The following is a 14586-nucleotide window of genomic DNA, read 5'->3' as shown; positions in this document are numbered from 1 at the left end:
TATTGGTCCTTTGACAGTTTGATTGTACTGTGTCTCAGCATAGACTTCTCTGGATTCCTCATCCTTGGGATCCCTTGCACTTCATGAATCAGGATCTCTATTTACCTCTCCAGTTCCTGGAAAGTTTTGCCATTATTTCTTTAAGCTTTCTGTCCCCTTCTCTTTCTCTTCTAAAACTCTTAGAACTTCTATATTGATTCATTTGATGTTGTCCCTGCAGTCCCTTAGTCTTTCCTCACTCTTTGTTTTTTATTCCTCTGGCTGGATAATTTATAAACATCTGTCTTCAAGTATGCTGATTTTTTTGTTTGGTCTCCTCTGCTGTTGAATCTCTATGTTCAGTTTTATAGTTGAGTTATTGTATTTTTCAGCTGAAAAATATCTTGTTCTTTTTATGGTTTCTATTTGTTTGTTGACATTGTGATTTTGTTAATGCATCATTTTTCTTATTTCATTTAGTTGCCCAGCCATATTCACTTGAAGCTTACTGACTTTTGAATTTACAATAATTGATGATTATTTTGAATTTTTGTTAGGCCATTCATAGATCTTTCAGTTAATGGAGATCACTTTATTTCTTTGCTTGTGCCATATATCCCTCATTCATTGTATTTCTTGTAGTTTTGCACTGGTGTTTGTGCATTTGAAGAAAATAAACTATCTTTCCCGGTATTTACAGATGAATTTGGCAGAGAAACATCTTTACCAATCAGACTGGCTAAAGATTCTAGGACCCTCTCAAATTGTTTCTATGTATGTACACAGCTGGTTTTTCTCCCTCATTCCTGGGGAGCGATATCAGAATTCTATGCCTTCTCTTAAACTTACACTGCTCAATAGTCTGCAGTGAATATGCAGTGCTCTATAGTCTGCAGTGAAAAGCGAGAAATACCTTTCCCCACTTATCCCTAGGACAGTGCACAAAAGATCAGGATGTTAGATTCACATTCCACACTTGTCCCTTGTTCTTGAAGAAGTCTCAGAATTATGTACCATCTCCCAATCTTGCAGAACCATGTTGGGTAGAGAAAGCCACCCAATCCTTTGGGTGCACCGAAAGACCAAGATGTTGAATGAACACTCCACTCTTCTTTTCCTACTGGGGGATGAGGAATGTCTCACATAGTGTGCCACCTTTTCCCAATCTCAACAAGCTGTGCAACTATTGAAAGCTGCCCACCCATTTTCTTTTTTCTTATCTGCCCCTAGGCATCTGAACTATGCCATTTTCCTCAGTGTTCCAGGTGAGGTGATGCAGAAACAAATCCCTTGGGCAGTGCACTAAAAAGTCAGGGTTTAGGATACATACTGCACTCCCCTTCAACCCCTCTCCCGTCACACACACACACACACACACACACACACACACACACACACACACACCCACCCACACAGGAGAAGTCATGGGCCAGTGGAATCTCTTTTGGCAGTGCAGAACTAGGAGAGGAGTCTTTCTGGGGTACTGCACATTGTTCACTTGATTAGGGACTGCTTATAAAGGTATTTTGATTCATATATTGTCCAACTGGTGTGTCTGTGGGAGTCAAGGGCTGGTACTCATTATTCTACCAACTTGCAGATGTCACTAGCTGTCTGCTTTTCATATATGGCTTTTATTATGTTGAGGTTGTTTCCCTATGTTTCATAGTTTCCTGTTTTCCTAGTCTGCTTTTCATATATGGCTTTTATTATGTTGAGGTTGTTTTCCTGTGTTTCCTAGTTTTGAGTGTTTTTCATCATGACAGAGTGTTAAATTTTGTCAAATGCTGTTCTGCATTGATTGAGATGATTGCATTTTTAACTTTTATTGTACTAAAGTGATATATTACACTAATAATTTTCATGTGTCGAACTATTCTTGTATCCCAGAAATAAATCCCACTTGTTCATGGTGTATAATTATTTCAGTGTGTCAGTTTTCTAGTATTTTATTAATCATTTTCACACCAGTATTCATCAAGAATATTAATCTGTGATTTTCTTTGCTTCTGGTATTTTTGGCTTTGGTGTGAAGCCACTGGTCCTGGGCTTTTCATTGTTGGAAGGTTTTTCATTATTAATTTCATCTTATTAATAAGTTACTGGTCTGTCAAGATTTTCTATTAGTGAATGAGTCTTGGTAGGTGGTGTGTTTCTAGGAATTTTTAACCAGTCCTTCATTTTTATCTATTACCCAGTTTGTTTTTATACAGTTATTTATAGTATTTTTACAATTTTATTTCTGTGATATTTTCTCTTTCATTCCTGATTTTAATTATTTGATTCATTTCTCTTTTCATAGCAAATGTACCAAAAGGTATGTTAATTTTGTTGGGTTTTTTTTAAGAAAACCATTTCGTAGTATCACTGACATTTCTATTGTTTTTTAAAATTATCTATTTAATTTATCTCTGCTTTAATCTGTTTCTTTTTCCCTTCCTTTTGCTAACTTTCACTTTCATCTGTTTTTTTCCTAGTTCCCTTCAGTGTGAAATTAGGTTGTTGATTTAAGTCTTTTTTTTTCTTTTTGAATGTGCGTATTTACATCCATAAATTTCTGTCACTGCATGGCTTTAGCTGTATCCCATAAGTTTTGGTATGTTATATTTTCCTTGAATTTATCTCCAAGTGTTTTTTAATACCCCTTGTGACTTACTTGACTCATTGTCTAAAAGTATGCAGTATGGTTTTCACATATTTATGGATTTTTTTCCTTCTGTTGATTTTCTTTCATTTGATTGTTATTGAAGAAGACACTTTGTATGATTTCATTCATCTTATATTTGTTAAGACTGGTTTTGTGGCCTAACATGTGGTCCATTCTCGAGATCGTTTTTGTGGAGCTTGAGAAGAATGTGTATTCTGGATAAAGTATTCTATTTATGTCTATTTGTTCCAATTTGTCTATAATGTTGTTCAACTCCTCTATATTTCTGTTGATCATCTATGTCATTCTATTATTTAAACTGAGATGTCAAACACGTCTATTATTGTGTTGCTGTCTATTTTTCACTTCAGTCCTGTCAATATTTGATTTACATATTTAGGAACTGTCTGGAACAGTTAGGAACATATTTAGGAACAGGTTGGTGTTAGTGCAAATAATTATATTCTTTTTATATTTTTACTAAAATAACCTTTTTATTCTTATATAATAACATTGTCTAACAGCTTTTAACTCAATTTTTTTTTCATTATGACAGCCATGTCTGTGCTGTTTTTATTATACTGGAATATATTTTTCCATATTATGGAATACATTTTTCTGTCCTGTCACTTTCAGTCTATGTCCTTAGATCTAAAGTGAATTTATTGTAGACAGGATTTATTTGGACTTTTTAATGCATTTAGGCAATCTACATCTCTTGATTGAAAAGTATATTTCATTTACTTTTCTTTTTGAGATAGGGTCTCACTCTAATACCCAGGCTGGAGCGCCGTGGTGTGATCACAGCTTACTGCAGCATCAACCTCCCTGGCTCAGGTGATACTCCCATCTCAACCTCTGGAATAGCTGGGACTACAGGTGTGTGCTACCACACACAGCTAATTACTATTTTCTGTTTTTCTTTTTAGTTTGTAAATTTAAAAAAGTCACATTATCCAGGCTGGTCTCAAACTTCTGGGCTCATGTGATTTGCCCACCTTGGCCTCCAAAAGTACTCAGAATATAGGGAAACACTCACTGTTCCCAAGTATTTCTTACTTTTCTCTGTCTTGTCTTGTCTTTCTGTTTCATTTCATTTTTAGTAACACGTTTTGAATTTCTGCTCATATCTTTTTGTGTATATATACATTCTGTGTGATTATCATTGTAATTACATGAACTGTATTAAAATTATACATTCTAAACTTAGTAAAAGTCTACTCTTTTAGTTTCACCTCATTTATGTCATACATTACATGTTTATATATTGTTACTTATTAACATAGATTTGTGTTTTTTAAGTTTTGTCTTCATGTTCTATGCACCAAAATTAAATAATACAGTTTACTATGTTTGTTCATGTATTTATCTTTACTGGATAATTTTATATTTCTCTATGACATCATGTTTCTGTCCACCGTCTTCATTTCAACGTGAAAGACTGCTTTTAGCATTTCTTATACAGTAGGTCTGATGATAATGTACATCCTCAGCATTTACTCATTTTGGAAAGTCTTCATTTCTGAAGAAAAGTTTTGTCAGATACCACCGACAGTTTTTTCTTTCAGTGTTTTGCATATTTTCTCCCACTCTTTTTTTTGCCTTGTGAGGTTTCTGTTGAGAAATCCCTTCATAATCTTATTGAAGCTTCTTTGTGTGTGATGAGTCACTTTCTTTTTTTTTTAGTTTTTTTATTTTATTTAGTTTTTTTTTTTTTTTTTTTGAGACAGAGTTTTTTGCTCTTGTTGTCCAGGCTGGAGTACAATGGTGTGATCTCAGCCCACCTCAACATCCACTTCCCAGTTTCAAGTGATTCTCCTGCCTCAGGCTCCTGAGTAGGTGGGATTACAGGCATGCGCCACCACGCCCAGCTAATTTTATATTTTTAGTAGAGACAGGGTTTCTCCATGTTAGTCAGGCTGGTCTTGAACTCCTGACCTCAGGTGATCCACTCGCCTCAGCCTCGCAAAGTGCTGAGATTACAGGCTTGAGCCACTGTGCCTGGCCAGTGAGTCACTTTTGTCTTTCTGCTTTCAACATTTTTTCTGACTTTAGTCAATGTGATATAATATATCTTGGTGTGGTTCTCTTGAGTTTTTTCTCTTTCAAAAATGTTTGAGCTTCTTGAATTTGTATATCTTTTTCTCTCCTCAGAATTAGGAAATGTTGGTATATTATTTCTTCACATATGTTTTCTGTTTCTTTCTTGCTTTCTTTTGGGATTCCCATAATGCTTATATTGCTCTGTTTGATAATATATGATAAATTCCTTGGCCTCTTTATTTTTCTTTACTCTTTTTACTTTTTGAATCTCTGACTTGATTATTTCAAATGCTATTTAATCCATATACAGAATTTTTCTGTTTAAAAAAAATTCTGTCTAGATGTTGTAGGTTTGTTTTTGTTTGGTTTTGTTTTGTTTCTGAGATGGAGTTTCACTCTTGTTGCCCAGTCTGGAGTGCAATGGCATGATCTCGGCTCACTGCAAACTCCGCCCCCTGGGTTCAAGCAATTCTTTTGCCTCAGCCTCCAAAGTAGCTGGGATTACAGGCATGTGCTACCAGGACAGGCTAATTTTCATATTTTTAGTAGAGACAGGGTTTCACCATGTTGGTCAGGCTGGTCTCAAACTCCTTACCTCAGGTGATCCACACACCTCAGCCTACCAAAGTGCTGGGATTACAGGCGTGAGCCACCATGCCCAGCCTAGATGTTGTAGCTTTTTAAATGATTTCTACTTTGTTGAATTTATCTTTTTGTTCATATTTTATTTCCTGATTTTGTTTAGTTTTCAGGAATTCTCATGGCAGTTATTTTAAGTTTTTGTCTGACTGCTTATAGATCTTCATTTCTTTAGGTTTGGTCACTTGAATTTCATTTTAATTTCTATAATTTGGCCACAATTATCTGTTTCTTTCAATGGTATGTAAACTTTTGCTGCAATTTGAACTGTTGAAGGAAAAAAAGGGACACATCTGTTCTAGTCTTAACATACTGGCTTAGATCAAAGGAAGACCTTGACCAATCAGCCCAGAGGCTTTGGAACATCCCAGATTTTTCCTGAGATGTTGATTCCTCTAGGTTTTGCATGCAGGACTGTGTCTCTAAATGGCTGTAGTCTCCACGTTTTTCATCAGCTTTCAAGTTATGCTGCCAGTCCTGATAGTGTTTAGGTGAAACTAGTATCACAGAAAATCTCAGACAAATCAAAACACTGAATGCAAAATGCCGTTTCCTCTGCCAAATAACAATTCTTAGTTTAGGGAGGTTTTCTCCTGGATATGCTATTACAGGAGAACAACTTGTTATATGGCAAGAGTAATGTCATTTTGAAGCAAAACTGACATCATGATCAATACTTTACACCTGCAGCAAGGTCTTTAAACAATCCCTGTAGCATTGCTAAGCCCTCATAAAGATGCTTATATAAACTCCCCAATGGCCACAAGTTTTCCAAGAAAGTCTTAGGCATGACCAGATGCACATCTTCACCTATTTGCACATCTTCACCCAAAATGCTTCCTTTTATAAAGAACACTTTCTGGGAGTTGGTGCAGGGACTCACCATCTTGCAGCTGCCGATATATCACTTCTGTTTGTCTCTGTTAGGTAGTTTTTTTTTCTGAGAAACGATTTATCAGCCTCTTACTTTCTTTTTTTTTTTTTTTATTTTGAGATAGTTTCTCTCTGTTGCCCAGGCTGGAGTACAGTGGACAACTATGTCCCTTCCCCTAGGAAAACCACAGTGGTGTGATCTCAGCTCACTGCAAATTCCATCTCCCAAATTCAAATGATTCTCCTGCCTCAGCCTCCTGAGTAGCTGAGATTATAGGCACGTACCAACATGCCCAGCTAATTTTGGTATTTTTAGCAGAGATGGGGTTTCACCATGTGGGCCAGGCTGGGCTTGAACTTTTGATGTCAAGTGATCCTCCAACCTCTGCCTCCCAAAGTGCTGGGATTACAGGTATGAGCCACCATGACTTACCCTGTCAGCCTCTTTCCTTGGCCTCTCAGCTCCATTGGCCTTTAGGCATAGATTCGCATATACCTACTCACTGCAAAACAACTGTGGTTTTCCTAGGGGAAGGGACATAGACAGGTATGAAAATGCTTCAAATTTTCTAACTACTTGCTAGTATCCCATCTGGGTTTTATGTTGGCCTGGGGGCTGTTTTTTTGTCAGCATGTCTTTAGCGTTCTCACAAAGATGTTCTGGTCCATATAGTATTGTTATCTGGGTGACTCTCTGAGAAAAGCTGGGTCTGTAGCTTCGTAATCTTCTATTTTACTGATCGTACTCTGCCAATCTGTCTTCAAATTGGTGAGTTTAATCTATTTACATTTAACATAATTTAAATAAGGAAAGAGTTACTTCTGCCATTTTGCTACTTGTTTCTATGTGTCGTATCTCCTTTGTTCCTCAATTCTACCACAACTCTCTTCTATTTTGTTTAACTGGTTGTCTGTAATGTCATTTTGAATTCCCTTTTATTTACTATTCGGTATTTTTAAAATCGTTTTCTTAACTGTTAGCCTGGGGATTAAAATGATCATTTTAACCTTTAACTTTATCAAAACCTATTGGATTAATACCAATTTAAATTTAATAGTATATAAAAACTCTAGATTAGGAAGCTGCAGGCACATCTCACCACCTTTATATTGTAGTGTCACAGATTATATCTTTGTAAGTTGTGTGTCCCTTGAGATAGATTGAAAACTATTGTTTTATGCATTTTTCTTTAAAATTGTATAGAAAAAGGAGTTACACAACCAAAATTTTAATAATAATGGCTTTTGTATTTAGCTGTATATTTGCCTTTGCCAGTGTTTTTATTTCTTCATGTAGTATCAATTTTCTGTCCTGTGCCTTTTTATTTTATTGCTATAGGGCAGATAGCAAAATAATCAATTTGTTTGTCTGGAAATGACTTAGTTTCACCTTTATTTTTCATTGAGAATTGTTGCTGCAATAAAATTCATGGTTAATGTGGTTTCTTTTAGTGCTTTGAATATGCCATTCTAAGGCCTGGATTTATGGTGTTTAATGGGCTTTTAATGTTATCAAGGATCCCATTTTCACACTTTGCTTCTCTCTAGCTGCTTTCAAAGTTCTCCGTTTTTTGTCTTTTTCCAGTTTGATTATATTGTGTCTCAGTGTGAATCTCTTTTATTAGTTGATTCTGCTTAGAGTTCATGAATCTTCTTAAGTTTTTAGATTCATGTATTTTATCAAATTTGGGAGATTTTACCTGTTATTTCTTCAAATATTATCTGTCTTTTCATCTTATTTCCAACTTTGGACTCACAAAAGGCATATAGTAGTCATTTGGTCATGTCCCACAAGTCTCTAAGAGTATGATTTTTTTTTTTTAATCTTTTTCTTTTCTACTCAGACTAGAGGATTACAATGTACTTATCTGCAAGATCACTTATTCTTATTTTTTTTTCTTTTTCTTTTTTCTTGAGGCAGAGTCTTGCTCTGTTGCCAGGCTGAAGTGCAGTGGCATGATCTCAGCTCACTCCAACCTCCACCTCCTGGGTTCAAGCAATTCCCCTGCCTCAGCCTACTGAGTAGCTGGGACTACAGGGGTGCACCACCACAACTGGCGAATTTTTTGTATTGTAGTAGAGACACGGTTTCACCATGTTGGCCAGGATGGTCTCAAACTCTTGACATCATGATGTGCCTTTCTCAGCCTCCCAAAGTGCTAGGATTAGCGGCATGAGCCACCATGCCCAGACTCTTTTTTTTTTTTCTTAGCTTCAATATGCTTCTGAACCTCCCTAGTGGATTTTTTATTTCACATAATGTATTTTCAACTCTAAAATTACTATTTGTAATCTTTTAAAATAATTACGTCTTACCTACATTTCTATTCTTATATATTTTTCTTGATTATCTTTAGTTCTTTGTCTTCAATTTCTATTAGTTGTTTAAGCATATAGAACAGTTGATTTAAAGTTTGTCTAAACCCAACATTTTGGTTCCCCAAAAATAGTTTTTGTTAACTTTTTTTCCTGTGAATGAGTGTGCTTTCTTGTCTCTTTGCATTCTTCATCTGTTTTGTTGAAAAGTGGATATTTTGGAAGAAGCCAAGATGGCCAAATAGGAACAGCTCCGGTCTACAGCTCCCAGCGTGAGCGAAGCAGAAGAGGGTGATTTCTGCATTTCCATCTGAGGTACCAGGTTCATCTCACTAGGGAGTGCCAGAGAGTGGGCGCAGGTCAGTGGGTGCGCGCACCATGCACCAGCCGAAGCACGGCGAGGCATTGCCTCACTTGGGAAGCACAAGGGGTCAGGGAGTTCCCTTTCCTAGTCAAAGAAAGGGGTGACGGATGGCACCTGGAAAATCGGGTCACTCCCACCCAAATACTGCGCTTTTCCGATGGGCTTAAAAAACGGTGCAGCACGAGATTATAACCCGCACCTGGCTCGGAGGGTCCTACGCCCACGGAGTCTCGCTGATTGCTAGCACAGCAGTCTGAGATCAAACTGCAAGGCGGCAGCGAGGCTGGGGGAGGGGCGCCCGCCATTGCCCAGGCTTGATTAGGTAAACAAAGCAGCCGGGAAGCTCCAACTGGGTGGAGCCCACCACAGCTCAAGGAGGCTTGCGTGCCTCTGTAGGCTCCACCTCTGGGGGCGGGGCACAGACAAACAAAAAGACAGCAGTAACCTCTGCAGACTTAAATGTCCCTGTCAGACAGCTTTGAAGAGAGCAGTGGTTCTCCCAGTACGCAGCTGGAGATCTGAGAACGGGCAGACTGCCTCCTCAAGTGGGTCCCTGACCCCTGACCCCCGAGCAGCCTAACTGGGAGGCACCCCCCAGCAGGGGCACACTGACACCTCACACGGCAGCGTACTCCAACAGACCTGCAGCTGAGGGTCCTGTCTGTTAGAAGGAAAACTAACAAACTGAAAGGACATCCACACCAAAAACCCATCTGTACATCACCATCATCAAAGACCAAAAGTAGATAAAACCACAAAGATGGGGAAAAAACAGAACAGAAAAGCTGGAAACTCTAAAACGCAGTGACTCTCCTCTTCCAAAGGAACGCAGTTCCTCACCGGCAATGAAACAAAGCTGGACGGAGAACGACTTTGACGAGCTGAGAGAAGGAGGCTTCAGATGATCAAATTACTCTGAGCTACGGGAGGACATTCAAACCAAAGGCAAAGAAGCTGAAAACTTTGAAAAAAATTTAGAAGAATGTATAACTAGAATAACCAATACAGAGAAGTGCTTAAAGGAGCTGATGGAGCTGAAAACCAAGACTCGAGAACTACATGAAGAATGCAGAAGCCTCAGGAGCTGATGCGATCAACTGGAAGAAAGGGTATCAGCAATCGAAGATGAAATGAATGAAATGAAGAGAGAAGGGAAGTTTAGAGAAAAAAGAATAAAAAGAAATGAGCAAAGCCTCCAAGAAATATGGGACTCTGTGAAAAGACCAAATCTACGTCTGATTGGTGTACCTGAAAGTGATGGGGAGAATGGAACCAAGTTGGAAAACACTCTGCAGGATATTATCCAGGAGAACTTCCCCAATCTAACAAGGCAGGCCAACGTTCAGATTCAGGAAATACAGAGAACGCCACAAAGATACTCCACGAGAAGAGCAACTCCAAGACACATAATTGTCAGATTCACCAAAGTTGAAATGAAGGAAAAAATGTTAAGGGCAGCCAGAGAGAAAGGTCGGGTTACCCTCAAAGGGAAGCCCATCAGACTAACAGCGGATCTCTCGGCAGAAACCCTACAAGCCAGAAGAGAGTGGGGGTCAATATTCAACATTCTTAAAGAAAAGTATTTTCAACCCAGAATTTCATATCCAGCCAAACTAAGCTTCATAAGTGAAGGAGAAATAAAATACTTTACAGACAAGCAAATGCTGAGAGATTTTGTCACCACCAGGCTTGTCCTAAAAGAGCTCCTGAAGGAAGCGCTAAACATGGCAATGAACAACCAGTACCAGCCGCTGCAAAATCATGCCAAAATGTAAAGACCATCAAGACTAGGAAGAAACTGCATCAACTAATGAGCAAAATAACCAGCTAACATCATAATGACAGGATCAAATTCACACATAACAATATTAACTTTAAATGTAAATGGACTAAATGCTCCAATTAAAAGACACAGACTGACAAATTGGATAAAGAGTCAAGACCCATCAGTGTGCTGTATTCAGGAAACCCATCTCATGTGCAGAGACACACATAGGCTCAAAATAAAAGGATGGAGGAAGATCTACCAAGCAAATGGAAAACAAAAAAAGGCAGGGGTTGCAATCCTAGTCTCTGATAAAACAGACTTTAAAACAACAAAGACCAAAAGAGACAAAGAAGGCCATTACATAATGGTAAAGGGATCAATTCAACAAGAAGAGCTAACTATCCTAAATATATATGCACCCAATATAGGAGCACCCAGATTCATAAAGCAAGTCCTGAGTGACCTACAAAGAGACTTAGACTCCCACACATTAATAATGGGAGACTTTAACACCCCACTGTCAACATTAGACAGATCAACGAGACAGAAAGTCAACAAGGATACCCAGGAATTGAACTCAGCTCTGCACCAAGCAGACCTAATAGACATTTACAGAACTCCCCACCCCAAATCAACAGAATATACATTTTTTTCAGCACCACACCACACCTATTCCAAAATTGACCACATAGTTGGAAGTAAAGCTCTCCTCAGCAAATGTAAAAGAACACAAATTATAACAAACTATCTCTCAGACCACAGTGCAATCAAACTAGAATTCAGGATTAAGAATCTCACTCAAAACCGCTCAACTACATGGAAACTGAACAACCTGCTCCTGAATGACTACTGGGTACATAACGAAATGAAGGCAGAAATAAAGATGTTCTTTGAAACCAACGAGAACAAAGACACAACATACAAGAATCTCTGGGACGCATTCAAAGTAGTGTGTAGAGGGAAATTTATAGCACTAAATGCCCACAAGAGAAAGCAGGAAAGATCCAAAATTGACACCCTAACATCACAATTAAAAGAACTAGAAAGCAAGAGCAAACACATTCAAAAGCTAGCAGAAGGCAAGAAATAACTAAAATCAGAGCAGAACTGAAGAAAATAGAGACACAAAAAACCCTTCAAGAAATTAATGAATCCAGGAGCTGGTTTATTGAAAGGATCAACAAAATTGATAGACTGCTAGCAAGACTAATAAAGAAAAAAGAGAGAGGAATCAAATAGATGCAATAAAAAATGATAAAGGGGATATCACCACCGATCCCACAGAAACACAAACTACCATCAGAGAATGCTACAAACACCTCTACGCAAATAAACTAGGAAATCTAGAAGAAATGGATAAATTCCTCGACACATACACTCTCCCAAGACTAAAACAGGAAGAAGTTGAATCTCTGAATAGACCAATAACAGGATCTGAAATTGTGGCAATAATCAATAGCTTACCAACCAAAAAGAGTCCAGGACCAGATGGATTCACAGCCGAATTCTACCAGAGGTACAAGGAGGAACTGGTACCATTCCTTCTGAAACTATTCCAATCAATAGAAAAACAGGGAATCCTCCCTAACTCATTTTATGAGGCCAGCATCATCCTGATACCAAAGCCTGGCAGAGACACAACCAAAAAAGAGAATTTTAGACCAATATCCTTGATGAACATTGATGCAAAAATCCTCAATAAAATACTGGCAAAATGAATCCAGCAGCACATCAAAAAGCTTACCCACCATGATCAAGTGGGCTTCATCCCTGGCATGCAAGGCTGGTTCAATATACACAAATCAATAAATGTAATCCAGCATATAAACCGAGCCAAAGACAAAAACCACATGATTATCTCAATAGATGCAGAAAAGGCCTTTGACAAAATTCAACAACACTTCATGCTAAAAACTCTCAATAAATTAGGTATTGGTGGGACATATTTCAAAATAATAAGAGCTATCTATGACAAACCCACAGCCAATAGCATTACTGAATGGGAAAAAACTGGAAGCATTCCCTTTGAAAACTGGCACAAGATAGGGATGCCCTCTCTCACCACTCCTATTCAACATAGTGTTGGAAGTTCTGGCCAGGGCAATTAGGCAGGAGAAGGAAATAAAGGGTATTCAATTAGGAAAAGAGGAAGTCAAATTGTCCCTCTTTGCAGACGACATGATTGTATATCTAGAAAACCCCATTGTCTCAGCCCAAAATCTCCTTAAGCTGATAAGCAACTTCAGCAAAGTCTCAGGATACAAAATCAATGTACAAAAATCACAAGCATTCCTATACACCAACAACAGACAGAGAGCCAAATCATGAGTGAACTCCCATTCACAATTGCTTCAAAGAGAATAAAATACCTAGGAATCCAACTTACAAGGGATGTGAAGGACCTCTTCAAGGAGAACTACAAACCACTGCTCAAGGAAATAAAAGAGGATACAAACAAATGGAAAAACATTCCATGCTCATGGGTAGGAAGAATCAATATCGTGAAAATGGCCGTAGTGCCCAAGGTAATTTACAGATTCAATGCCATCCCCATCAAGCTACCAATGACTTTCTTCACAGAATTGGAAAAAACTACTTTAAAGTTCATATGGAACCAAAAAAGAGCCCACATCGCCAAGTCAATCCTAAGCCAAAAGAACAAAGCTGGAGGCATCACACTACCTGACTTCAAACTATACTACAAGGCTACAGTAACCAAAAGAGCATGGTACTGGTACCAAAACAGAGATATAGATCAATGGAACACAACAGAGCCCTCAGAAATAACGCCACATACCTACAACTATCTGATCTTTGACAAACCTGAGAAAAACAAGCAATGGGGAAAGGATTCCCTATTTAATAAATGGTGCTGGGAAAACTGGCTAGCCATATGTAGAAAGCTGAAACTGGATCCATTCCTTACACCTTATACAAAAATCAATTCAAGATGGATTAAAGACTTAAACGTTAGACCTAAAATCATAAAAACCCTAGAAGAAAACCTAAGCAATACCATTCAGGACATAGGCATGGGCAAGGACTTCATGTCTAAAACACCAAAAGCAATGGCAACAGAAGACAAAATTGACAAATGGGATCTAATTAAACTAAAGAGCTTCTGTACAGCAAAAGAAACTACCATCAGAGTGAACAGGCAACCTACAAAATGGGAGAAAATTTTCGCAACCTACTCATCTGACAAAGGGCTAATATCCAGAATCTACAATGAACTCAAACAAATTTACAAGAAAAAAACAAACAACCCCATCAAAAAGTGGGCAAAGGACATGAACAGACACTTCTCAAAAGAAGATATTTATGCAGACAAAAAACACATGAAAAAATGTTCATCATCACTGGCCATCAGAGAAATGCAAATCAAAACCACAATGAGATACCATCTCACACCAGTTAGAATGGCAATCATTAAAAAGTCAGGAAACAACAGGTGCTGGAGAGGATGTGGAGAAATAGGAACACTTTTACACTGTTGGTGGGACTGTAAACTAGTTCAACCATTGTGGAAGTCAGTGTGGCGATTCCTCAGGGATCTAGAACTAGAAATACCATTTGACCCAGCCATCCCATTACTGGGTATATACCCAAAGGACTATAAATCATGCTGCTATAAAGACACATGCACAAGTATGTTTATTGCGGCACTATCCACAATAGCAAAGACTTGGAACCAACCCAAATGTCCAACAATGATAGACTGGATTAAGAAAATGTGGCACATATACATCATGGAATACTATGCAGCCATAAAAAATGATGAGTTCATGTCCCTTGTAGGGACATGGATGAAATTGGAAATCATCATTCTCAGTAACCTATTGCAAGAACAAAAAACCAAACACCGCATATTCTCACTCATAGGTGGGAATTGAACAATGAGATCACATGGACACAGGAAGGGTAACATCACAATCTGGGGACTGCTGTGGGGTGGGG

Source organism: Homo sapiens, chromosome Y (genome assembly GCF_000001405.40).
Source record: "Homo sapiens chromosome Y, GRCh38.p14 Primary Assembly".
NCBI classification, from domain to species: domain Eukaryota; kingdom Metazoa; phylum Chordata; class Mammalia; order Primates; family Hominidae; genus Homo; species Homo sapiens.
Note: the sequence above shows the minus strand (reverse complement) of the source record.